Genomic DNA, 26,845 nt, shown 5'->3' with positions numbered 1-26,845 from the left:
CCTGACATCATATTTGTTATACTCTGGGGGATATCAGGGAGCCGGCAAAGCAAATGTCCACATGCTTCAGGCGATAGGATGGTCAGGTGGCATGTGACTAACTGTCAGGATAATAGTGCAGGTGCTACATGGAGAGTAACACTCAGGAGGGAGCAGTTCAGGGGCTGGATGAGTCTCAGAAGACTTGGTGTGTGTGCAGGGGTCTTGTGAACTGGGATTGGGCGGGGACGAGAGACAGTGTGGGTGTTGTAGGCAGGGGACCGGCACTCATTGTTCAGGGGTCCCTTCATTTAGCAGACATTCACTGAGCACTGGATGTGTGCCAAGCACTGGCCTGGGCACAGTAGATACCAACAAGAGTGAAGCAGAGTAGAGAAAAGAGCATTGAAAGCCAGAGTGGCCCAGTGCTCAGGAGCATGGTCTGCTATGTGGTTGCCTCGGCTTGAATCCCAGCCCTGCCACTGACTAGCTTGTGGTGTGATCCTGAGCAGGTTGTGTACTCTGGAGCCTGTTTCCTCATCTGAAAAATGGGGATGGTAATAATTGTGGCAGGGATTAAATGAGTTAATAGGAAGTACTCAGAATAGTCTTGAATATAGAAAGTACTACTGTGTGTAGGATATTTATTGTCACTGGAATATTAGCTCCATGACAGGCATTTTGTCTGTTGTGTTCACTGCTGTAGAATACATCTTGTACATAGTAGGCACTCAGTTAATGAATCAAAGCAACACTGGTGTCCTCAAGGAGCCCAGGAGCCTGTGCTCTGGTGGGGACACAGCCATGTCAATGACCAGAGGATACTGTGCAAATGCTTTGAGAAGGGAAGCATGGGGCCTGGTGGGGCACAGAGGAGGGCTGGCCAGGGGAGGCTTGGGGTTGGAGAGCCCGAGCTGGATCTTGAGAAACAAGCAGGGATTTGTTGGTTGACAGAAGGGAGTCTGGATGTTTTTGGGAGAGGGATAGCACAGGCAGAACCAGGAGAGCCTGTCGTGTTCTAGGACACTGGAAGAGAGGATCCTGCAGAATGGGCCTCTCAGAGGATCCAGGGAGGGGTCCCAGCAGGGCTGTGACCGGGCCCTCTGAGGCTGTACGGGAGGAAGGTGGAATATGCTGGTTGGTGTTCACTCAGACTCCAGCCCCCACCTATGTCCGCAGGGGTGGGGCTGGACATAGGTTGGCACCAGTGAGAGCTCCCCTGCAGCAGGTGAGGGTTGGCCTCCAAACAAGGAGAAAGCAGGTGGCCCCCACTACTGCCTGGCAGCACTCCTGCTGTAAAATAGAAGGGATGAAGAGAGTGGGTGATTAGTGTCCCTGGGGGACCTAGTTAAAAACTGACCCCTGGAACTGCAACTCCAGGTAGCCCTCACTTCCACTCAGACACCAGGGCCTCCTAAGGGGCATCTGCTGAGGGCCACCTTGCTTGCCACACCTTGGCCCTCCTCGCAGCTTTGCACAGTGCACAGAAGTCCTGTCACCTGGTGGCCTTGACCCTACTGACAGAGAAAGACTGACTTCCAGGCCTGTGTGCTTGGTGCTTCTAGGGGCAGGTGTAGGGGCCATAGGGAAAGACCGTGAATTCAAGCTGATAAAACTGATGTGTGTATCGTCCCCAGTTGAAGAGGACTTTGAGGAAACATCTACTTTATACTTAAGCTTGTGTTCCCCACAGTTTACCATAATTACTCATGGACTTAATTATCTGCCATAGATAATTATCTGATACTAACACCTTGCACCTCCTTGTTTCCTCCCCCTTCCTTAAATCTACCCAGACACAGTAGGCAAGAGGGAAAATGGAGATGGCTTTCACTTTTCTCTTTGGCCTATTGCCTTATTTTCCTTTGGTCTCTCCTGATTTCTCTGAGGGCTTTGGGATTTATTTCTGTGGCTGATCATTTATATACAGGGCTTGCCAAAGGTCCTTGTGCAGGGCTTTTAAACTTTAACTGAGGTTGTGGGTATGACAGAGTGTTGATGTTTGCAAGCATGTCAAGTGGAACCATTTGAGACCATTGCAGCTGGGGCAGTTTTTATGGTCTGCAATCTAGTGTCAGGAGGTTGCCCAGAGACAAGAAAGGAAACAGTGTCCCTGGCTCATTTCTATACTCACGTAACCACCATTTATCTAGTGCCTACTGTATGCTCAGTGGCTCTTCACAATGACTCTGCCAGCAAGGAGAGCCACAGGAACTGAGAGAGCTGGGATCTCTGTGAATGACCCATGGGTGCTGGTTGTTTCTGGTTGAGTAGAGCCAGAGGACATGTTTAAAACTGCCAGGGACTTTTGCTGAACCTGCAGGAATTGTTTCCTGCCTGCCCCCCACTCTGCCCGCCCCGACCCAGCCCCTTCCTTAAGTCCATCCAGAGATAGTAGGAAAGAGGAAAAGTGAAGAAGGTATTCACTTTTCTTTTTGGCCTACTGCCTTATTTTCCTTTGGTATCTCCTGATTTCTCTGAGGCCTTTGGAACTGATTTCTATGGCTGATCATTTACCTGCAGGGGCTTGCATAGAAAGGGTTTCTTGGTACTGAGCCTGATAGGAATGTGGCAGAGGGAGGAGAGAGAGCTGAGGGTCTCCCTGACGCCTTGGCTATCTCCCAGGCTGGGCAGAGGGAAAGGTGGCAGAGTTGGCAGGGTGAGGTGCTGGTATGGAAGAGGATTCAATCAGAGCACGTCAAATATCACTTAAGGGCCTGGAGGGAATTTCACAACCAGTGAGGCACTTTTCTGTGACCAAAACTTTTTACACATTATTTGCTTTAATCCTCATGGTAGCCCTAAAAGGTGTTATTCTTCGCATTTTGTAGATGAGGACACAGAGGCCCAGGGAGGCTGTAACTAGGAATGGTTGGTGTATTCTGATTCTGTTGGCCAGGTTAATTCTTTTTTTTTTTTTTTTTTGAGATAGAGTCTTGCTCTGTTGCCCAGGCTGGAGTGCAGTGGCGAGATCTCAACTCACCACAACCTCCGCCTCCTGGGTTCAAGTGATTCTCCTGCCTCTGCCTCCCATGTAGCTGGGACTACAGGTATGTGCCACCACACCTGGCTAATTTTTGTATTTTTAGTAGAGACAAGGTTTCACCACATTGGCCAGGCTGGTCTCGAACTGCTGACCTCAAGTGATCCTCCTGCCTCGGCCTCCCAAGGTGCCGGGAATAACAGGCGTGAGCCACTGCACCCAGCCCATATTGATTCATTTAAAACCTCATAAGAATCCTGCAGGTGGCATATTATGATTCTTGTTTACCCATGTAGGACTGAGACCCAGACCCAGAGACCACAGACAGGAGGTAGTAGAGCCAGGGCTTGAACCCATATCACCAAGCTGCCTCACCGGGCTTCCTTATGAAGGAGTTCCTCCTTCCACCCTTGAAAGCCGGGAGCAATTTGCCCATGAGCCACCCAGCCCTTCAGTGGCGAGGGGAGTGGGGCACAGGGTGGTGAGTCTTGCTGAGAGAATCCCCTTTCCAGTCAGATCTGAGAGCTTCCCCCACTCCCTTCCCACACAGAGTCACGTAGCTTTCAGCCTGGAGCTCTGCAGAGACGCAGCTCCCAGACCTGCATGCCCAGGCTGGGGGGGGTCCCTGGACCAAATTCAGTTTGTCCTTTGGCCTACCCAGTACCAGCATCTGGTAAGGCCCAGGACTACCTGGCATCAGGCACATTCCCGGGGAGCTTTTAAAATCCTGTCAGCCCTGCCCTGCTTTGAAATTTATCCAGAATCAGACCATTCTCATGCCCTCCGCTGCTACCACCCTAGTCCACGCCACTGTCATCTGCCGCCTGGACAACTGCAGTTCCCTCCTAATTGGTCTTTGTGCTTCTCTCCCCGTCTGCTAGTATAGCAGCTGGAGGGACTGTTTAATGGTGGAAGTTGGGTCATGGCACCTCTCCGCTCGAACCATCTGTGGGCTCCTATCTCACATACAAAGTGGACTCCAGAATCCTTCGTGGCCCATGAGGCCCACGTCATCTTGTCCCCTCTCCAACCCCATTACCTCTCTGGCCTCATTTCCTCCCATCCCTGCTGCTGTTTTTCAAACATGTGAAGTGCAGCCAGCCTAGGGCCTTTGCACTGCTGTCCCCTCTGTCTGGACTGTTTTCCTCCAGATCTTCCCTCACTTTCTCCAGGTCTCTGCTGAGATGTCATCTTCTCAGGGTGACATTTCTTGACTCTTCTTCTCCAGCACACTCTATTATCTCGGTGCTGCTTTCTTTTTCTTTGGAGTTCTCAGCCTGACTCAGACATGTTATATTTCAATTTGTTTTCCTCTCCCTGCTAGAATGCATCTCCATGAAGACAAGGAACCGAGCCTGTCTTGTTCAAGGCTGTACTTCTAGTGCCTAGAATAGTGGTTGGAATAAGTAGGTCCTAAAAAATAATTATTGAATTAATTTATTAAATGGTTAGTTGAGCTCTATGATTTTCCCTCTTTGGGACTCTGCCTGAGAAGCCAATCAGCTGCTGAGAGGTCCCTCCCTGCATCTGAGGGAGCCTGGGAGTCTCGGGGGCAGAGGGCTGGGCCTTGGGTACTCCGGCTGAGGGCTCCCCAAAGATTCCTCTCCAGTTTGGGAACCACCGGCATCCTTGTTTGTCTCTGCACTAGCTTCCAGTCACCCCTTCTGGGGAATTATCTGAAAACAGACATTTTCTATCTCATCTGCCCACAATGACAACAGTGAATTAAAATGGGTTGGCTTACCAGCTAAACATTGGGGATATTCAAATGCCCATTGAGTTCTCAGAGCCATACAGATACTGGCAGTAGCCAGAGGAGATGTCATCCATGCTCCTGAGGGTCTCCCTGTAGAGTTGCAGCTAAGCTGTGCCCAGAACAATAGGATTCACTCAATGCTCTGGGATGTGATAGACCAGAAGGAGAGAAACTGATGTTGAGTGAATCCTTCCTGTGTGTGGTACACAGCCACAGTGCTTAGGTAGTACGAGTATTTGGTAATGCCCAGGACTACCTGGCATCAGGCACATTTCCAGGGAACTTTTAAAATCCCCTCAGCTCTGCTTTGAAATTTAAAGTGTTACAACCTTGAGGTTGATAATGGTGTGCCCATTTGATGGGATGGGGAAATTAAGGCTCTGAATCGATGGGAACAAGGCTTTTATGGACCCCACAGCCTTAGGAGTAACTGAGAAAGGCTCCAAGGAAGGACTCATAAGCAGGCCATGAAGGACCGGTGGTATTCCTGTCACTGAAACAGTGCAGCCTCAAGTGTAGCACAGATGGTGAGGTACGAGTGCTGTATAAGGTGGAGCCCGGATGGTTTTGAGATGGCCCATTGAGTATGAACAGGTGTGTCTTCCTTTTTCCTATTACTGATTACCTGGGAACAGGGAGAAGTTTTTTTTTTTTTTTTTTTTTTTTTTGAGACAGGGTCTTGCTCTGTTGCCCAGGCTGGAATGCAGTGGCGTGATCTCAGCTCACTGCAAGAGAGGGTGTTTTATTTATTTATTTATTTTTATTTTTATTTTTTTGAGAGAATGTTTTAAATGAAGCCCCAGAGAGCTGAGGAACTCTGGAGAAACCCTGGCATCAACTCTCCTCCACACAGGACCTGTGCCTTCTTGGTGTCACCAGGGACCAACCCAGCCAATGCTTATCTGAGTACATACAGCTCAGCCTCTAGTCTCCAGGAGCAATGGAGAGTAAACCTCTCTAGTGTTGGAGGTTTTGTGGATGGGGAAGACAGAACATTGCTATGTCCAGGTTTGGGGGATGGTGCTGGCATGCTTCGGCCCTTCAAGCCCTTATGAAATAAATGCTTCTTGCTACTCAGCCCATGTAGTGGGATTAGAGCTGTGTGTAGTACACAGCCACAAAGCTTATGTGGGCATTGGGGGCGGGGGGGCCAAAAGAGGCACCTGTCTTCTTGTAGCCAGTGTAATTGACTTGTTCATATAATCACTTGTTCATCAGCCTTTATTAGCTCCTACTCTGTGCCAGGTGGCACCATGCCAGATCCTGGGGCCACAAAAACAAGGACATCTTCAGGGAATTCACAGTCCAGTGTGGGGAGATGGATAAACCAAAGATGACATGCAGTGTAGTGGGGACTGTGTGACATGAAAGCAGTAGAGCTGTGGTGTGGAACTTACGGTCACAAAGCTTTAGGGTGGCAGGCTTGAGTTTGAATGTCATCCTAACCCAGCCACTTACCAGCTTTGACTTTGGGGAAGTTCTTGGTCTGTGTTAAGTAGTTATATACCTTAGCTCATTTATTCTTCAAATCTATCTAGTGAGGTAAAAATTTTCTCCATTTTGTAGCTCATTTCGTAGCTGAGGAAATTGAAACTTGGAAAGAGTGAGTAATTTGTCTATGGTCTCTCAGTAAATAAGTGACAGGACCAGGATTCTAGTCCAGGTCTGATTCCAGAGTTCCTGCTCTTCCCACTCTAACAAGGTAAAGAGAATGAGTTTTGTCCTTGCTCCCACATGGCCAGGGCCCTCTGAGAAATTAGCTCTGGGACAAAGGGGTTTTGGTTTTGATTTTAAGCTGCATTAATGGAAGTTTCATCCCCAGAACACAGGAGGTGATGGTGCTGCTCTGCTCTGGGGAGATCACAGATGGAGCACTGGGGCGCATTCATGGGTCACCCCTTTGAGGAAGATGTGGCTATTTGGGGTCCTTCTGAAGGGTTGACTGTGATGGGCACTGGAAACCTTGTCTCCCAAGCAACAGCTGAATGAACTGGGGGTATTTTACATGGAAAAGAGGAGACCCACAGGGACATGAGGGCTGGCTGCAGATATCTGAAGGGCTGCCACATAGAAGAGTCTCATCCTCTGTGAAAGCTACAGGGAGAAAGGTTTTGGCCCCAGGTTTACAACGATACCTTCTGAAATATTTGGGATGTAGTGAGTTCACTATCATCAGAGGTAATCAAGCATGGGATGGGCTGGATGCGGTGGCTCATGCCCATAATCCCAGCACCTTGGGAGGCTGAGGTGGGTGGATGACCTGAGGTCAGGAGTTCGACCAGCCTGGCCAACATGGTGAAACCTTGTCTCTACTAAAAATACAAAAAATTAGCTGGGCATGGTGGTGGGTGCCTGTAATTCCAGCTACTTGAGAGGCTGAGGCAGGAGAATCGCTTGAACCCAGGAGGCAGAGGTTGCAGTGAGCTGAGATCACACCATTGCACTCCAGCCTGGGCAACAAGAGTGAAACTCTGTCTCAAAGAAAGGAAGAAAGGAAGAAAGAAGGAAGGAAAGAAGGAAAGAAGGAAGGAAGGCAGGAAGGCAGTGGAGAGTATGGAGTAAATGCCTTCTGCCATTCCTCTGCCCAGAGTTCCTGACTGTCCCTTGGCTGCTCTGGATGTGGCTCCCAGGGCAGCCCTAAGGAGAGGTTTAGATTGCATCTCTCTCCAAGCCCAGATCTTCTCAATAGGCTCAGCTTTGCATGTTCCCTCAGGTACGGTGGGAGGAACACAAAGTTAGAACCAGAATTAGGAGACCTGGGTTTGGATCCTGGCTTAGCCCCTTACAGCTGCCTGACCTGGGGCAAGACATTTGCCTTCTCTGTGAAAGGGGATCACATCAGTCCTTCCCCTGTAGGTGAGGTAGTGAGTAGGAAAGCACTTTGTTAAGGAGAGAGGGTACAGACACTGGTTATTAACAGGTGCAGTCAACTTCAGGGAGCCTGGCCTTCCACACACTGTCTGAGAAAACTTCACCCAGTGGTGGTGACCCAGGATCTGTGCCATGCCAGGTATTTTAGAGAATGAAATAGGTTTTGGCCCTAGGTTTGTCCAGAGCTCTCTGAAATATGTTATCAAATGAGTTTCCTGACAGTAGCAATGAGTAAAAGAATCCTCTGCCCTCAAGGCTAGTTGAGTGTAGGAGGCAGAAAGAGTTTGGGACAGGTGTTGAGAAGGGAGGGATCCAGGAAGCCTTCGTGGGGAAAGTGACATTTGAGTTGGGCCTAGACAGAGGCTTCATTATGCAGGAAAAGGAGCAGGCAAAGGTTACAGCAGAAGCAAAGAAGCAACTTGTTTAAAGGGGTGGGGTAAGGAGTTCCTGGGAGGCTGTTTTACATTCCCTTCATTTCTCAAATGAAGATGAGGTCCAGAGATGGGAAGTGGGTTTCCTAGCAGGGATAGGGTAAGCAAAGGTTAGAACCAATGCCCAGCACCTCACCTGGGGCTGTTTTCACCACGCCTCAAGGGTGCGTCTCTACTCGGAAGCCATTTCTCCTGGTTCTGCCTCCTGCCAGGCTGTTCTGTCTTAAGGAGGAAAAGGAGGGAGCAAAAGTTGTATTTACCAAAGGAGCTGGTTGGGCAGGTCTCCTTTCCGAGGTCAAAGTCAAGGCCAAGGTTGGCCTAGCTGGCTTCTGGGGGGCGGAGCCAGGCCTTGGCTGGCCACCAGGTCAGTGGGGGGTGTGGGGGATGGGAGGTCGGGGAGGCTTTTGGTTGGGAGGGAGTGATCACTGGTGGGGACTGAGGTTTTTCCAAGGCATTGCCCCTGTGAACAGTGGGCTGAAAAGATTACAGCCCACACATTCTTTCTCAGCAGATTAGGGCCATGGGAGATTATGGAATACACAGGAGGCTGTAGGAGGCCTGCAAATTTCCCATTTGGGGCAATTAATTTGATGGATTGTAAAACAGCTCACTGCTTCCTCTCCGCCTTCCCTGGGCTGGGTTGGGCTGGGCAGTAAGACTGGCTGGAGAATGTGGCTGGAAATGCCCTTGCCGGTGTTCTGCAGTACCTGCTTGGACCACCTTGTTAAAACCTTCTCTGGGCAGGGGCTCGGCCTGCCCCTTTCCTGCCTCCCTTCCTGGTACAAGGAAGATCATATAGTAGGTGCTACATAAAGCTATGCAGAGCTGATACTTATCTGATTGGGGCCTTTCCAGGATGTTGGTAGAGGTGGGGCTCATGGTGGAAGCTCTGGTTTATAGATGGGGAAGCTGAGCCCCAGCGGTGAAGTCACCTGCCCAAGGTTACTCAGGTTGTTGGTGACAGCTGGGACTCCAGCCAGGTTTCTCTACTCCTGGGCCAGGGCGTCTTCTCCCCACTTGTGTGCTCAAAGTGAAAGTGAAATAAATAGTGAGCAATTTTTATGGTTTCTCTCCCCTGACTTCCTCCTTGCCTCCAGCCAGTCAGTAGGGTCCCCACTTTGGTGACTGTGGGCAAGGTGTGACATGGTTCTGCTGGCATCTCCCCAGCAGCTTTGCAGCATTCCCAGGAGGGCTCTGGTGGGGCTGCACTTTTCTTATGTACTCAAAATGTGTCTGGGCTCATTCGATGCCTCCCTTCTCCATGGGGTCTTGCACCTGTGATTTGTAACAGATTCTTGTGATTAGTCCTTTCTCTGGTGCCTCCTAAAGACCCCACTGTCACCAACTCATATCTGCAGCGGTGCAGATGGTTCCGACTGGTTTTCTTGCCTCCATCCTGTTCTCCCTACAGGGGCCCAAATACCTCATCCTGATATGCTTCCTGATGAGGGCCTTCAGAGGTGTCCTGACTTGGGCTTCTCTTCCTGTGTCTGTGTCCTGTTAAAGCACACCATTCCCCTCTGGCCTGAACACACTCCACAACATCATAAGCTGTAGCACTCTCTTGCTTCTTTGTCTTTGCTTTTGTAGGAATGCCCCCTTCCATCCAGGTAATTCCTATGCATCCTTTAAGACTCAGGCATTACCTGGGAAGCCATCTGTGGCCACCCGCCATCAAGGGTTTGTGATATCCCTCCATTTGTGCTTTCATTCATTTAGTTAGCAGTGCTTTCATTCATTTGTTATGTACTGAGAAGCTTTTCTGAGCCTGACAGTGTTGTACTGAGGAGTACAGTAGTGAACAAAAGGAGGGTGCCTGTGGGCATGGAGCTTGCATGCTAGCATCCTCTCTTGCCACATATCACCTTAGTCTGTGTAATGTCTCTCTGTCTCTCCCTCATTAGCCTGTGAATTATCTTTATGTTTGATTGATTCACATATCTGTCCCCAGCACTCAGCACAGTATTAAGTAACAAGCACAGTGTTTCTTCAAGCAAGAAAACTTAAAATGTTAATGCGGAATGAACGGATGGATAAGTGGTTCCGCCTTCCCTGCCCCTCTTAGGCTGTCTAGCTGTTGTGTGTGGCTGTCCCCACCCCCACCCCAAGAGCTCTCTTGCCCCTTGCACTCTTGGCACTGCATTTGCTGCTCACGTGACTGTCCTGCTTCATGTTACACCTTTTTGTGTCTACATCTCTCTCACATTGTTGTAAATTTCTTCAAGGCAGGGTCCATTCTAGTTCAGTTTTGTGTATCTGGAATTTCTATACTTGATATTAGCCAAAAGGTTGAGAAGCAAGTGTACTTGGAATTTCTGCCTGTCCTCACATTCAGTAAAATGAACAGCAATTCACAAAGCAATGTGTAAAGAAATCAAAATGTAAGGACACAACTAGGTGCCTAGGAGTGGGTTGGTTTATTCATAAACGTGTAGTGGGCACCTGCATGCCAACCCTGGGCCAGGTGCTGGGCATTCTTAGATGAATGAGGCAGAGGCATCTGCCTCAAGGGCTTCTGAAGGCTTCCTTCCTTGAGGAAGAAGAACATGCAGACAGGGTGAGGAGGTGCCCAGCCCGCTGGCACCCAAGACACTTATGGTATAGGATATCCGGATCCTTCCTTTTGATGAAAGAAGATGCCATCACAGAGTTAAGGGGGCTGTCAGGCCTCAATTTTAATCCCACTTCTGTTGCTTGCCAGCTGTGTGACCTTGGACAAGTGAGTCAACTTTTCTGAGCTTCAGTTTCCACATCTATAGTCAGTAGCTAGTAAGAACATCTACCTTGTAGGGTCATTCATTCCTTTATTAAATGAATATTTATTGAGTGCCTACTTGGAGCCAGGCATTGTTCTAAATGCTGGGATGGGATAGTGAACAAAATCAATAAAGGTCTCTGCCCTCATGGAGCTTACGTATTAGCAGGAGAGAAAGAGAGCAAACGAAATGGTTAAAATATATAGTATCAGAGGATGGTAAGTGCTATGGAGAAAAATGAGCAGGAAAAGGAGACAGGAGGCCTGGGTGTGAGAGTGGAATGGTCAGAAGAGGCCTCTTTGTGGAGATGACATTTGGGTAGAGATCTGATCAAGCCATGTAGGGGCAGGACATGCCATGACGAGGAAACAGCAAGGAGGCCAGAGTGGATGGAGCTCAGGGAGTAGGAGTTGAGACTGGAGAGGTGCAGGCCCTTGACTTGAGCTTTCACCCTGAGTCAGCAGAGAATTCACTGGACGGCTTTGAACAATGGAAGGCTTTGAACAGAGGAGTGGCATGATCTGACTTTTGCTTTAGAATAAGGATAATTATTCTAAATATTTATTCTAAATATTCTAATTATTCTAAGTACTTATTCTAAATATTTTAATTATTTAGGATAATATTCTAAAATATACTTATTCTAAAGAAAAGTCAGATCATGCCATTCCTCTGTTAAATTATGGTTGTTGTACGTAGAATAGACTGATTAAAGATAATGTAGGTAGCATGTTTAACACAGTACCTGGTATGAAATAAGCCCTCATTAAATGGTAGTTTTGTTCTTCATGATAATATTATTTTAAAATTCTTTTTATTTTTTATTATTTTTTGAGATAGGGTCTCACTCTGTTGCCCAGGCTGCAGCCTCGACCTCCTGGGCTCAAGTGACCCTCTCACCTAAGCCTCCTGAGTAGCTGGGGCCACAGGTGTATGCCACCATGCCTGGCTAATTGTTAATTTTTTTTTGTAGAGACCGGGTCTTGCCATGTTGCCCAAGCTGGGGTAATATTATTAAAGATGGACCTGGGTGCCTTCTAGTCTTGGCCTGGGCCCTCATTCCACCTATCTTCTGCCCTTTTGGGAGCTACGGCATCCAGGGAGCCTTCTCCCTGAGGAGGACAGTGATGAGTATTGGACTTGGGAATGAGCAGGGAGAAGGTGACTGATTCTTTGGCTGTTCCTGCCTGGATCTTCTGTTTAGTAGTCATGGTGAGGCGTGGTGGTGCGGCAGTGGAGACAGGAGAAGAATCTTGGCCTCCACAAATCTAGACTGGGGAGCTCAACCTGCAGGCCAGAAGCTGCCAGTAAACGAGAAATGCCACATCAGCAGCCCTATGAATTCTGCTTTTCCTATCTGGTTGTTAGGGTTCCCAGGAGGGGCTACAGCTGTACCCCAGAGCTGCCCTCCTCCTCCCAGACTTCATGGTGGGCATCCCTCCTCACTACCTCCATCCCTGGAATCTCAGGCCTTTATGGAAAGGTCTCAAGCCTCTCACATGGTCTGATGTGGTTTGCCTATTCACCTGATATAGAGACTCCTTCGGCAGCAGTGCTGACCAAACTGCTTCTGCTCAATGACTTTGTATAACAGGGAGAGTTCACTACCTCACAAGGAAGCCCCTCCTGTAATTGTCACATTCTCATTGATAGGAAGTTCCATTTCAGGTTGAGCTGAAATCTTCTCTGCTCTGACTTCCCCCATTGCTTTTGGTTCTGAAATAAGAGTGAGTCAGTTATAGTCCTCTCCAACCTTCCCATCCCCTGTGCTACCTCCATGAAGCAAAGGTTTACTGGTGTCCCAAGAGGCTCTGTTCAGTTCTTGCTCTGTTACTCAGCCTGATCATCTGGTAGGAGGCCCAGGAAAGCTTAATAGAGCACATGATGCTTGAGTGGGCTCCTGAAGGGTGAGGGGTGAGCCAGGTCAGGAAGGGAAGAAAGGCCTTTGAGTCAGAAGGTAAGGCAGTGTCTCGAAATAGTGTGTGGAGTCCAGGAATCCTAGATAGTTCAGTATCTCTGGAGTAGTTGGGAGTTTCTCTCTCTCTCTCTCCCTCTCTCTCTCTGTCTCTCTTTCTCCGTGTGTGTGTGTGTGTGTGTGTGTGTAGGGGATAGTGAGGGAGGTGAAGTCTGAGAGGTAAGAGAGGTAGACCCAAGCTAAAGCATGGAGGGCCACCTGTGCCTGGGTCAGGTCGTGGACACAGGTGGCAGAGGTCAGAGAGCTGCACAGGAGGACGGGTTTTAGAACTGGTTTGTTTGGGGCTCCGGTACCACGGGTTTCACATTGGCCTAGAGCTGATGAATGGCTTTCTGAGCACCACTGACTCTGCTTCCTGCTTTCGTCTAGGGTTCCTGATTAAACCTGTCCTTGAGATCTCTGTAGAGTGGGACAGGGACAGTAAGCACTTTGAATGTGCTAGTCACCCTGGACATTCTGTTTCTGGGCTCAGCACTGGATGAGCCAGGCTTTCAGCCCCTGCACCCCTTTCCTGGGTTGGGGTGGGGGCCAGGTGCTGTAGCCAGGGGCAACTGGCTCGCCTCAAGCTTGCCTGTGTCCCAGAGGTGGCTGGACACACAGGTCTGTCTCTGCCCTGCAAGGTTTCTGATTTATGCAGGGAGCCTGCATTTGCCCTTGGCCAAATTCTTTGGGCATAAAGCTTTTGTAAAGGGGCTTGGGGCCCTTCCAGGGCATTAACAGTTTCTTTATGCCCCATTCAGATATCTATTTGTATCTGATTTTTATATATTTCCAAAGTACTTTCCCAGCTTCCTGGGGGAGACTTGTTCCCCCCAGCCTGGCCAGATCATTGGGAACCTTCTGGCAGACCTGCCTCACGCTGCTGGCATATGGAGTGTCCTCTCACCACCGTCTGTCCTTCCTGGTGTCTTGCATGCCGAAGGGCCGAGGGTGGAGTGGGGTTTTTTGTTTTGTTTTTAAATAAGGGCAACGTGGGTAAACAGAGCAGTGTTTCTGGTGCCTTCGGGGAGGGCCAGGACCCTGCATTCCGGCTCCATGACGACAGCCTGTTTGGTTGCCACTTGCTGGGCTGTGGGCAGCAGCAGTTCAGACGGAGACAATGGTGGCTCTGTTGAAATGCTGCTGCTGGGCTCTGGCAGAATGCATTTTAATTGGACATTCTCCACCCTGGAATCTGTGGGGATCTGGTGGCCCACTCCTCCTCATTCCTTCATTTTTCTCTTTGCAACTCAAGAGCCAAGTTATTGCAGCTCCTTCCCCGCCCCGCCCCCCAACCCCGTCTACTATTAGCAGCCTCTTGGGGGAAAATGGTGTTTCTAGCCAGGGCATGGTTTGCACTGGGCTGACTGGAAATAGTGAGAGAAAGGGAGAGGGTAGGGGGCTGGAGGGGCTGGGAGATATCCTGTGGCCTGTTCTGGAGCATCACTGAGGGGTGAAGAGCAGCAGGTGTTCCAGGAAGCTCTTCTCTTCCGTGGACCAGGGTGGTCAGGAACACTGGCTCTGAAGTCAGGCCAACTGGGTTGGAATCCTGGTGGTAGCACTGCCAGCTGAACCTCTCTGTGCCTCAGTTTTCTTATGTGTAAATTGGGGATAATACTAGTGTCTACTCGTAGAATCATTGTGAGAATTAAATTAACATATATGAAGTACTCAGGATAATCATACCTGCATGTAGTAAACACCTGATAAGAGCCTCCATCACTATATTTTGTCATTTTAATCTTATGTCCTGGTCATCGATATTCCATTCCTTGTAAGGGCCTCATCTGAGACTGCAGGAGGAACAGAGCAACACTCTTTCTAAAATGCACATTTGCTTTTGTCACTCCCTGTCCTAGACAGCCTCAGTGAGTCCCCATTGATCTCTCTGCATAAAGAGGAGGGACTTGTGTTTATTGAAGGTATCAAAGGCCTACTATGTGCTGAGTACTTGGTGTTCTTTTAGATTAGCTCCAAAGTAGACACTGATATGTGAGACCCTTCATCATTGGGCCGTATCTTGCTGGTTTGTTGTTGTTTTTGAGATGGAATTTTGCTCTTGTTGCCCAGGCTGGAGTGCAGTGGTGCCATCTTGGCTCACTGCAACCTCCGCCTCCCGGGTTCAAGCGATTCTCCTGCCTCAGCCTCCTGCTAATTTTTTTGTATTTTTAGTAGAGACGGGGTTTCTTCATGTTGGCCAGGCTGGTCTCAACTCTTGACCTCAGGTGATCCATCCACTTTGGCCTCCCAAAGTGCAGGGATTATAGGTGTGAGCCACTGTACCTGGCCATCTTGCTGGTTTTTTATTCCCCTATCCCCCCCAAACCAAACCAAACAAAAACATAACTACCTCAAAGAACAGCATGTTCTTCTCTGATGTCTCATCTGCTTTCATCCGCCATGCCTTACTGAGCATTCTGCCTTCTGCCAGGATTGCCCTGTGGGAGGCGGCTGTGGATCCAGGAAAACAGACTGGACTGGGGAGTGTCTGGGGATTTCCTTACCATTCTCCCCCATGGGGCAGCCTGTGGAGAGCCCACTTGCCAGGCTCTCTCTGTGGGACCAGCTCTGGTTTGAATCCTGGCTCCACCACTAACTGTGTGGCCCTAGACATGACCTCAGACTAGTGCCCGTCTCATACGCTTGTTGATGAGATAATCCACACAAAGCCTTGAGTACAGTGTCTGACATGCTGCGAGGGCTCAGCAGATGCTAGCTGTTCTTGCTATTGTGATTCTTCCCGTTTTCTGTTTGGAATGTCTGTCTTTCTAGGCTCAATGCTGGACTGAGTTTCTTTGAAGGAAACAAGCATTGAAGAGGTTCCATGGATCAGGGAGGTCTAAGTAGGGGTTCCTTTGTTCTGCCTTGCACTTCCTGTGGCTGTTGGTCATTACTGTGGGTCGTACCCATTTTTGCCTCCCTCTAGTCTGCCTGTGGCAGGACCCCTTGCTTCTCAGCCACTGAGTGTACCTGCCAGTGTGGCCACTCCTTGTGGGATAGCTGGGGGTAGACACAGGTTAGCCTTACAAGATGTGGAGACCCTGCCTGTGTACACAGACCTGCTTGCTTATGATGGACTTGCCTGTGAGTTAATCAGTCACTAGATAGCCAAATGAGGAGAAATATTGGTAGACCAAAGAGAATTGCTGCGACTCAAGATTAGCCAGAGAAACCAATCTCTGTGAAAGAAGGAGGAAATATGTCTTTTTTTTTTTTAATCTTGCTGACTTTGTAGGGCCAGGTTCTCAAAGTTTGAGTATTTTGCAAGTATATCTCCATTGAAAACAACAAAAATGGTAAAAGGCTTTAGAAAGGGTTGGAGGAAAAAAGAATGGAAAATTTTAGTTTCAGGGAGCTATGGTGATGTATGGTTTATGCCACCTCAGTTCCCCTATTATTGGGTTTAATATTCAGGAGAGCTAGGGCATCATCCTGGTTCTGTCACTAACTGACTGTGTGACCTTGAGCAAGGTGGGCCTCAGATCCCATGTCTGTAAAATGGGAATGTCTTACCCTGAAGGTGGGGCTGGAGCTTTGCTCTGAAGGTGGTGGGGGTGGAGGTGGAATGACTTGAGGCACTCGAGTAAAGAATCAGGTTGGGAGGCTGGATGCGGTGGCTCATGCCTGTAATCCCAGCACTCTGGGAGGCCGAGGCAGGTGGGTCGTGAGGTTAGGAGTTCGAGACCAGCCTGGCCAACATGGTGAAATCCCGTCTCTACTAAAAATACAAAAATTAGCCAGGCGTGGTAGCGCGCCTGTAATCCCAGCTACTCGTGAGGCAGGAGAATTGCTTGAACCCGGGAGGCGGAGGTTGCAATGAGCCAAGATCGTGCCACTGCGCTCCAGCCTGGGCAGCACAACAAGACTGCGTCTCAAAAACAAAACAACAACAACAACAACAAAAGAATCAGGTTGGAACTTTACAAATCTTGTTCTGGTGGCTGGGGAGGGAGGCCTGTTTTAGAGGACCCCTGTGACCATAAAATGAGAGATGATACAGGCCTGAACTGCAGCAGGGTGTGGGCGTGGGAGACAAGGGGAGGCATATTTGTATGAGTACTTGTGTGTGTTTATATGTATATGCTTTGGGAAAGGGTAAACTCTGTATATGCACATTGGATAATTTCATTGCTTATTGAGGTAGTCAAAAGTACAGACACCCAGCAGTTCCATCACTATGGTGACTCCGTCCTTCCAGGGTAGTAAGTAGACAAGTTGCAAAGGTATGCATACAGGGATGTTCATTGCAACTTGCTTATAATGCTAAGAAATTGCAAACAACCTAACTGGCCATCCATTAGGAACTGGTTAATGAAATTTCGGTACCATCCAACTATTAAATGATGCTGCAGATCTGTTTTTCTAAATACAGCAAGATACACATGTACATCAAATGAAAGAATGGAAAACCACACGTGCAGCATCTAGCCTGCTACCACTTTGCCATTATTCTCTGTGATTCTAAAGCCCATCATGGTTGGGTTTGCTCAGGCCTGCTACACCTCTTTCCCTGTGATTGACTTTCTCTCTCTTGTTACTCATGTAACTGTTTTGCATCAGGTCTCTGTGAACAAGGACCATGCCTTGCTTTTGTTTCCCGTGTTTCCTTCAAGCAATAGGAGTAGGTGGCCACTAATTACTGCAGAATTTAATTGAGGGACGTGAACAAAAGGCCTTGTTATCAGCATTAAGTGATATTAAGCTGTAGGCTGATTCTCCCTCTCTTACAAAATAGAAACTGTGTCTGGCCCATAAAGAGGCTTTTAAACTAAAGTTGTGTTAACAAAGACCTCTTTCCAGAGACCTCCCTGCTTGAGGGGAGCTGGAGTAAATTCAGGCTTTGTTTCCTCTGTCTTAGGGAGCCAGCTGGAGGTGAGGGGACAGGAGGTGTGCCTGCTGTCCAACCGATTTTAATGCACAAGATCTCAGTCAGTGGGTTTTTGTTGGAGTGGCAAAGGGGGAGGGAAAGCCTTGCCTCAAGTCTGCTGGGTGCTGGGCCCCTGATGTTGTCTTGTTTCATCCTCACAGCAGACCGAGGATGAGGGAAATACTCTACCTCATCTTACAGACAAGGATACCAAGGCTCAGAGAGGTTGAATAACTTACTTAAGTTGCCCAGCTAGGAACTGACAAAGCGAGGATTTGACCATACTGTGTGCCTTGATCTAGTTACCAAAGATCCTAGAGCAGCTACTGGGCCACAGTCTGGGCACTTAGGCATAGTTGCTGAGCAGGTTTGGCACTGGGATGATGGGAAAGGGGTGGGAGGCTCTGAGTTGGGGCAGGATGGGCGTTAACCAGCTAGGTATTTATTTCATATCTGCTGTGTAAACAGCATGGTGCTGGGCACTGAGGGGATATGGAGAAGAGGGTGACACCGTCCTTGTCTATTTAACCATTTGGTTGAAGTCATTCATTCTTACCTAAAGAAATACACCAGGGGATCGGGAGGGATAAATAGGGGCATAGAAAACAAGAGGTAGAGGAAGTCTGAAAAGGCACAGTTAGCAGGACTGACATGGGTGGGGAAGGTTTCATTGAGGAGGGAGACGTGTGAGCAATGTGTAACAGTGGAAGGTCTGGGCTGAAGTGGGGGCTCTTGAAGTTGAGAAGTGGGAGCCTGTTTGGAAAGGGAAGGAGGGAGGTGGTCAGGAGGCCTTGGGCACTGGATCCAGGAGTTCTCTCTGATTCTCTGAGTAATTAGGAGCTGTCGTAAGCTTTTGAACAAGGAGTTGACATGGTGGGAAACAGTTTGAAGGTGATTCTTCTGGCCATGGTTTGTTTAAAGTGCAGAGTGGTGGAGGGAGAGAGGAGGAGGTTACCTCATTTTTCTAGAAAGTTTACCCATCTGCAAGATTAGTAGTGAGAGGGATGGGGATGCTCTGGCTGAGGTGCACTGGGGGATCTCAGGTCTTGACTTGGACAGTGTGGTGGTAGGAAGAAACAGATAGCTGTGTGTTCTGTGTCCTGGAGTGTAACTGCACACTGCCAGGTGCTCAGCTTGAATGGCTGGCATGCAAGCATACGTGTATGCATCCATTCAGCAATTATTTATTGAGTGCCTAGCATGGCACATGAGCTAGGCTTATGGTAGTGAGCTAAGCAGGCATGATCCCCTGCCTTGGGTCTGGCTTTAAAAGTAAATGTCCTATGAGACCAAAAAAATGACAGGAAGACATCCGAACCGCTCTAAGAAAACAGTTTGTTCCATAGCTTGGTTGTGCCAATAGAGGGAAAGCATTACTTCTCTTTGCAGAAGTGTGGCTTACAGAGGAGGGTCTGGGACAGATCTTGCCTAGAGGGCTGGGGATTTTAGATAGCAGCTAGTCCAACCACCTTCATAAGAGGGAAGTTAAATAGGGCCTCACAGAAGTTGGGGAAATTCCTTCAAGTTGTACAGCACATTGCTACGTCTCTGTGCTTGTCAGCATTCTGGCCCCGTACCACACCGTCTCTGCTCTATGGCTGAGCCAGCCTTTCTAGCCTGTTTTCTCCCCTTGAGTGAGGGAAGAGGGGTGCTGGAGGAAACAAGGGGAATAGGGTAGACTATTAGAAATTGAATAAGAAAACCATTTTAAATAGGGCAAACCACAGAGGAGCACTCTCCCTTCTTCTGTGGGCTAGGGAGCCCCCATCAGAATTTCAAAGAGACATTGCATGGCCTCTGATCTTTGCCAATTTCCCAAAGTTCATAGCTTACTCCCAGGCCTTATTTCTTAAGGCCTAGGTGGTGGGGACCAAGATGTCACTCACTCTAGAATGCCAAATACCCTGAGAAATTCCAGGGGCTTTCTTTTTGAGCCTTGGGGCTCTGGCCAAATAGCTCCTGGTATGGTTGCAGCCTCAGATCCATTGATGAGTACCTATGCCTGGCAAGGGCTGAGCCAAAAGGGGCCAGAGGGATGCAGACCATTCATGAGTACAGCCCCTTCCTGAGGTGGGGGCCGGCTAGCCCACAAGCAGCTATGCTGAGCCTCTGAATGATGTGAGTCCTAGAATGGGGACCCACACACAATACTTTGCTAGCTGAGAGAATAACGTGATTGTGGCTGGAAGAGTTACAGATGGCAAAATTGGAGCTTTACTTCAAGCATTTAAAAAAGTCATAAAGTTACTTATATTCACTGTTGTAAATTTAGACAATGCAGACAAGCAACAAGAAAATAAAAATCCCTTGTAATCCTATCACCCAGAGATAATCCCTGTTAACATCTTGTTGTCTATCTCTGTGTATCTATGTATTTATATGTGTGTTTTAACAAAAATGGGATAATATATAGTTTTGTATTTTCTCACTTAACTATATAGTTTTCTCTCTCGGCATCCATTGGGGATTGGTTCCAGGAGCCCCCACAGATAGCAAAATCAGTGGATGCTCAAGTTTCTTACAGTTGGCCTCCATATCCATGGGTTCTCTGACATGGAACCCATGGATATGGAGAGCTGACTGTGTATTTGAAAAAATATACATGTCCTTAATTTATGTTTATCTCATCAGTTTTAATGGCTGCATACGATTTCATTATACAGTTGAATTACGATTTACTTAGCCAGTAATCGATAAAATTTTTTGGAGTTGTCTTCCAAAAGGGAGTATCTTTATTGTGGTAGCTGATCACAAAATAAATACATGCTTATGTTGAATTTTTAAAAAAGCTAGTCTCAAAAGGTTGTATAGTATATTATTTCATTGATAAAAAATTCTTGAAATGACAAAATTATAGTAATGGAGAACAGATCAGCGGAAGACTTAGAAGAGGGTACATTTCTTTGAAGTGGTGGAACTGTCCTGTGTCCTGATTGTGGTGGGGCACACATGAATGTATGCATGTGATGAAATCTCATAGAACTGTACATATATACATAGTATATATAAAAACCTGGCTTCTTTCCGCGCCGATAGCGCTCACGCAAGCATGGTTAACGTCCCTAAAACCCGCCGGACTTTCTGTAAGAAGTGTGGCAAGCACCAACCCCATAAAGTGACACAGTACAAGAAGGGCAAGGATTCTCTGTACGCCCAGGGAAAGCGGCGTTATGACAGGAAGCAGAGTGGCTATGGTGGGCAAACTAAGCCGATTTTCCGGAAAAAGGCTAAAACTACAAAGAAGATTGTGCTAAGGCTTGAGTGCGTTGAGCCCAACTGCAGATCTAAGAGAATGCTGGCTATTAAAAGATGCAAGCATTTTGAACTGGGAGGAGATAAGAAGAGAAAGGGCCAAGTGATCCAGTTCTAAGTGTCATCTTTTATTATGAAGACAATAAAATCTTGAGTTTATGTTCAAAAAAAAAAAAAAAAAAAACCTGTGAAATCTCTGTGAGGTCTGTAGTTTAGTTAATAGTATTACCATGTCAGTTTTTCTGTTTTTGACAATTGCACTATTGTAATATAACATGTTATCACTGAGGGAAGCTGGCTGATCGGTACACAAGAATTCTCTGAACAAGAAGATTAGCATGGCCCCTGCGCAAGGATGACACGCAAATTTGTGAAGCGTTCCATATTTTGCGCAGTCTGTCAAGATCATTTCAGTATCTGCTAATTAGCACTAAGGAACTAGTGTGAATCTAAGCAAAAACGGGTGGCACCCAATGACGAAATTGTGGTTTTCATTACCAAAAAAAAAAAAAAAGAATTCTCTGAACAATTTTTTTTTTTTTTGGAGACAGGGTCTCCCTTTGTCACCCAGGCTGGAGTGTGGTGGCACAATCCTGGCTCGCTGCAGCCTCGACCTCCCTGGGCTCAGGTAATCCTCCCACCTGAGAATCTTACCCACGTAGCTGGGATGATAGGCGTGCACCACCACATCTGGTTTGAACTATTTTAAAATTTTTAAGTGAGTCTTAAATTTTCTTTCAGAGTGAAAAGTTTAAAACAAATAAAAATGAAAAATGTGCTTGTTGAATAACATTGACACTGTAAAAGGTATGTGATGATAAAGAAGAACCCTTTGGTAGAAGGTGGGAGAGGGGTCATGCAGGCTCAAGACAATGGCAGGAATGTCCTGGGGGTGTCCAAGACTGTCCAGGACTGGGCTGGTCCACAGGGAGGAAGTGGGTGATGTGGCAGGAGTGGATAGTCACCCGACTGAACAGGGCCTTTCATGTTTGATACTCACAGTGGATGGGGAGGAACACTCCAGAGGGAGACTCAGGTTGGAGGGCAGAGTGGTGACAGGGGAGGGCATGGACTTTGGAGGCAGACAGGGTGGGCTCAAGGCATAGGGCCCATCATAGGAAGCAGCTGCTCAGTCTAAGTTCCTGTCCCTCACTGATCCCCAGGCCTCACCTGCAATTGAATGAGAATCTCTGAGGTTGGGTCCCTGGCAGTATTTTCCTTTAAGCCCCCAAGTGATTTTAATGTGCAGCGAGGGTTGAGAACCATGTGGTTAGACTCTTTCACATCATGATTCAGCACAGTGCATGGCTTTTAAAAGGGGCACCAAGAGAAACTTCTCTTTTCACCTCTGCTGCCATCAGGGGAGAGTTTGAGGCAGTTGCATGGTGGTGTGAAGGGGGTCGATCTGGGAGCCCTGTGTGGTGGTCCCTGCCAAGTCTGATGTCTTTGTGTTGGTGGCCCTTTACTTGGGATTCTGGCCCCCACATCACCTCTTTACCTTGTGTGGGGCATGATTTGAACACTGCAGGTGATGGCTTTCTAGTGGCCTGTGTTCTTGCCCATCTGGAGGGAAGAAGGGGCTGGAAGGCCCTGTGAGAGAGCTGATCTGGGGCTTGGCAAGTGCCTGGTGGGATCAGAGGGAGACCATAAAGTACATAAAAGTACACATCCAGGCACTTTTTGGGTCATATGGTGCTTTCCAACATGGGCCCACCCAGTCTTCACAATAAGCCTGTAAGGCAGATGGGCCAGAAATGGAGAAAAAGGGAAACAGAGGGTCTTTGATTCAAGGAAGGAGCAAGCGAGAGTCAAGCCTCTCTCTTTTGGCTATTAATCCACTTTCTTTCTATAAAACCATCTAGGCCAATGGATTTTCTGGAGGCCTTGGGGCTTATGCCTCTTTAGGAAACACTTTGTTTTATTATGTCAAGGTGTATGGTTACTGGCCGAGGTTTCTAGTTTTTTAGGCATTTATGAAAATCCAGCTGCTGAGTCACAGCACGTGTGTAATTGTATTGGTAAGTTAATGGCTATTTATGTTTGGAGGTGTTTGGAAAACAAGAAGGAGGCAAGATTTTAAAATATGTTTTGACCAGGTGTAGTGGCTCACACCTGTAATCCCAGCACTTTGGGAGGCCAAGGCAGGAGGATTGTTTGAGCTCAGGAGTTTGAGACCAACCTAGGTGACACAGGAAGACCTTATCTCTACTAAAAACTGAAAAAAAAGAAAAAAATAGCCAGGCATGGTGGTGCGCACCAGCAGTCCCAGCTACTTGAGAAGCCGAGGCAGGAAGATCACTTGAGCCTGGAGATGGAGGCTGCAGTGAGCTGTGATTACACCACTGCACTCCAGCCTGGGCAACAGAGAGACTGGTTCAAAAATAAAAATAGCTGGGCGGAGTGACTCACGCCTGTAATCCCAGCACTTTGGGAGGCTGAGGCAGGAGAATTGCTTCAGCCCAGGAGTTTAAGACCAGCCTGGGCAACATGACAAAACCCCGTCTGTACAAAAAATACAAAAATTAGCTGAGTGTGGTGGTGTGCGCTTGTAGTCCCAGCTACTCAGGAGGCTGAGGTGGAGGATCAGTTGAGCCTGGGAGGTTGAAGCTGCAGTGAGTTAGGATCATGCCACTGCACTCCAGCGAGGGAGACAGAGTGAGACCCCATCTCAAAAACTTAAAATAAATTTGCTGGGCATGGTGGCTCATGCCTATAATCCTGACACTTTGGGAGGCCAAAGTGGGTGGATCACTTGAGGCCTGGAGTCCAAGACCAGCCTGCCAACATGACAAAACCCCATCTCTACTAAAAATATAAAAATTAGCCAGATGTGGTGGCACATGCCTGTAATCATAGCTACTTGGGAGGCTGAGGCATGAGAATCACCTGAACCCAGGAGGCAGAGGTTGCAGTAAGCTGAGATGGTGCCACTGCACTCCAGCCTAGAGGACAGAGCGAGGCCCTGTCTCAATAAAAAAGAAAAAAAAACCAGGAAAATGATAAGAGTCCTTAATGACATCTGCGAAAATATCCCTTCACTTAAAAATAAAAAAAGATATTTAAAAAAACTATAAAAGAAAAAAATAGAATAAAAATGTTTTTCTCTGTATTTGTATCCAGATAATAATTCAAATATGTATCTCCTGCCCTGACCTTTCTTGGGTTCCAGAGAAACATTTAACAAAGCCCCAAATACTCAACTGAACTTGGATATGTCCCTGGCACCTGTGTGGTAATAGTAATAGTGGTTATGGTAGTAATAACAGCTTCCATTATTGAGCGTATCCTATACAGTTCAGCACTTGGAACTCACCTAACCTGGAAAGGTTGCTGAAGAGATTAAATATCTGTATTTCAGAAATCAAACCAAACAAAAAACTTTTGCCACTTGTTGGCTAAATTAGTCATGACACCTCTGTACAGTGGATTATTATGCATCTATTAAAAATGGTGCTGTGAAATATTAACTAAGGAAATGGAAACTGTTCCCTGTACATTAGTAGATAAAAGAAAATTACAGAACAGGCTGGCATTTGGAGGTTCTCAGTGAGTGTTTAAATCCACTTACATACAAAGCTATATTGTCACTCTCCTCCTTTTATTGGTGAAGAAATTGACTTGTGTAAAGGTCATGCAGAATTTTAGATCTGGGTCTTTTGAATTAAGACTGAAGTGCTTTCTTTGTGATACTCGTCTGTTTCTGTCTATTAAAAACACAGTAAGATATTCTCTAATCAAGGACTCATTGCTATGCTCAGATCAGAAAAGTCCGGGAGACCTGTTTGACACCCACATTATTTTGTTTGCATAGCTCTTTACAGTTGATAAAGCACTTTAAAGGATATATAACTTTTTCTGATTTTAAAAGATGACCTATTTATTGTATAATTAGGAAGGCAGAGAAAAGCCCCAAGAAGGAAAAAATATTTATAATCCTGTAGGTTTAACTACTATTAACATTTTTTTCTTCCTGTCTTTTCTCATTGCAAATACAAATTTTATAAAATTGGGATCATGTTGTACATATAGTTTTGATTCTTGCTTCCTTAACTAATCTGTTATAGACAATTCCTCGTTAATTGTTCTTCTACAATGTGATTTCATGCACAGTATCTAGTTTTTGTTTTTGTTTTTGTTTTTTTTTGAGATGGAGTCTCGATTTGTTGCCCAGGCTAGAGTGCAGTGGTGCGATTACGGCTCACTGCAGCCTCGACCTCCTGGGCTCAAGCGATCTTCCTGCCTCAACCTCCGTAGTATCTGGGACTACAGGCACACACCACCACATCTGGCTATTTTTTTTATTTTTTATTTTTTACAGAGACAAGGTCTCACTTTGTTGCACAGGCTGGTCTTAAACTCCTGGACTGAAGCAATTCTCCCTGCCTCAGCCTTCCAAAGTGCTGGGATTACAGGAGTGAGCCACTGTGCCCAGCCTACATTTTCTCTTTTGATCCTTAAAATAACACCTTGAAGCTGGTAGGGGAGGATTATTATCCCCATTATAAAGGTTGGAAGCTGAGGCTTCTAGAAGTTGCCATTTGTTCAAGATAAGAAACAACTTTGGAGTGAGAAAGGGAATTGCTTTAATCCAGTGAGTCTGAGGGAGTGGAGTAGGAGGTAGGTTCAGATTCATCTGTTTTGTTGTATTATTCAAAGTTCTGAGAAAACCCCCTTTCTGTAACCTCTACCAATGTCCTGGTCTGTCCTCTGTCCCCACATAGAAAAAGTTTTCACCTTTTAAGTGTTTGAAGAGGCTCCCATGTGGCCCTATGTGTTTTCCTTTCCAGGTTAAATCATCCTTGTTCCCTCATGAAACTTGGCTTTTAGTTTACTCGTTGTCTTTGACATCACTCTGGGCATATTCCCCTTTAGCTGTAATCCTCTTAATAGTGTATGTACTAGTAAGCTCTTCAGGTTGAAAGTGACAGAAACCCAACTCAAACTAGCTTCAAGAGAAAAGGAAGGATATTGGCACCAGTATCTGGGAACTCCCAGTGTAATCCTGACCTGGCCTTGGCACTGTTGGACTCTGGTGCTCAAAGGGCATTTTGGGGGCCCTGCCTTCTCCATCTTTCAAGTCTGCTAACTCTTTTGTCAAGGAAGAGAAATGCTCACTCTCCCAGGAGCTATACATCTCTTCTTAGGGGAGATTATGATCCCCTGCTTGGAACATGGGCCTGTCCTAGGGGTAGAGCGTGGTGGCTGAACAGTTGCAGCATGACGATATGGGAGGTGTGACTTCTGCCAGTGAAGGGATGCATATGAGCAATGCATGTCCATCATATTGCAATATGTAGAATTGGTGACTGGCCAGCTCAGAATAGCATGGGATCATCATCTGTCTTTTCCTCAATATCATACTTGAATCAATTCAACCTAAAATCAAAATAGGTTCCCTATTAAGATGTAATCATATTACATCAAGCACTGCTGCTCAGCTTCTCTCTCTCCTCTTAAACTGCTGGTCTCAAATTTAGGTCTTTAAGCTTATCTCTGTTAGATTCCATATGGCTGTATTAGGTCCAGAGAATCAGCTTGTTAAGATCTTTTAGCTCTAATTCTGTCATCTGGCTTCCTGCTTCTCCCTCACAGCTCAAGCACTCTGCAGTCAGGTGATATGATGCAACTGACATTTGGGAGTGGCGGGGATGGGAGATGGGAAAGTGAGACAGCACCAGGCAGTCAGTTGCATCAAAAGAGCCAGAATCTTCTCTCACCTCCTCCCACACACCCTAAAACCCCTTCAGTTTCCTTTGCATGGCCCATAAGCTCGGCCTTCTGGGTTCATGATATATTAAAGGTCACCAGGAAGGACATCACACATTCTGCTTTTTTACTGAGGCCCTAAATGGACTTAAGTAGGAAGGACCTAGGTTAGACATTAAGAACTTCTTGGCATAGGTGGGTATGGGGGGCATATTAGAGAAAGCAGTAGTAGATCCGTTTCTGGAGGCTGTCAGGTACTAGCGTGTTCCTGAGAAGTCTGCAGTGTATAG

The 26,845-nt window shown here is 47.2% G+C and overlaps 1 protein-coding gene and 2 pseudogenes across 22 annotated transcripts in view, besides 2 other annotated features; all 3 read left to right on the top strand.

Moving 5' to 3' along the window:
* PLEKHA7 (pleckstrin homology domain containing A7) overlaps positions 1-26,845 on the top strand; it is a 237,118-nt gene that overhangs the window by 18,755 nt on the left and 191,518 nt on the right. The gene's annotated exons all lie outside the window — the stretch shown is intronic.
* Positions 8,756-9,205: an enhancer, noted in NCBI's record as "active region_4483". NCBI's record gives its function as "activates an Ori minimal core promoter by ATAC-STARR-seq in GM12878 lymphoblastoid cells {active_cell/tissue: GM12878}" and the evidence as "EXISTENCE:reporter gene assay evidence [ECO:0000049][PMID:35858748]".
* Positions 13,397-14,035: an enhancer, noted in NCBI's record as "H3K27ac-H3K4me1 hESC enhancer chr11:17003172-17003810 (GRCh37/hg19 assembly coordinates)". NCBI's record gives its function as "activates a minimal SCP1, AML or CMV promoter by ChIP-STARR-seq in naive H9 embryonic stem cells {active_cell/tissue: H9 hESC(naive)}" and the evidence as "EXISTENCE:reporter gene assay evidence [ECO:0000049][PMID:30033119]".
* On the top strand, positions 20,616-21,014 carry RPL36AP37 (ribosomal protein L36a pseudogene 37; annotated as a pseudogene).
* On the top strand, positions 21,173-21,239 carry LOC124902817 (uncharacterized; annotated as a pseudogene).

This window comes from Homo sapiens, chromosome 11 (genome assembly GCF_000001405.40).
Source record: "Homo sapiens chromosome 11, GRCh38.p14 Primary Assembly".
In the NCBI taxonomy this organism is placed as follows: Eukaryota; Metazoa; Chordata; class Mammalia; order Primates; family Hominidae; genus Homo; species Homo sapiens.
Note: the sequence above shows the minus strand (reverse complement) of the source record. Positions and strands in the feature narration are given on the sequence as shown.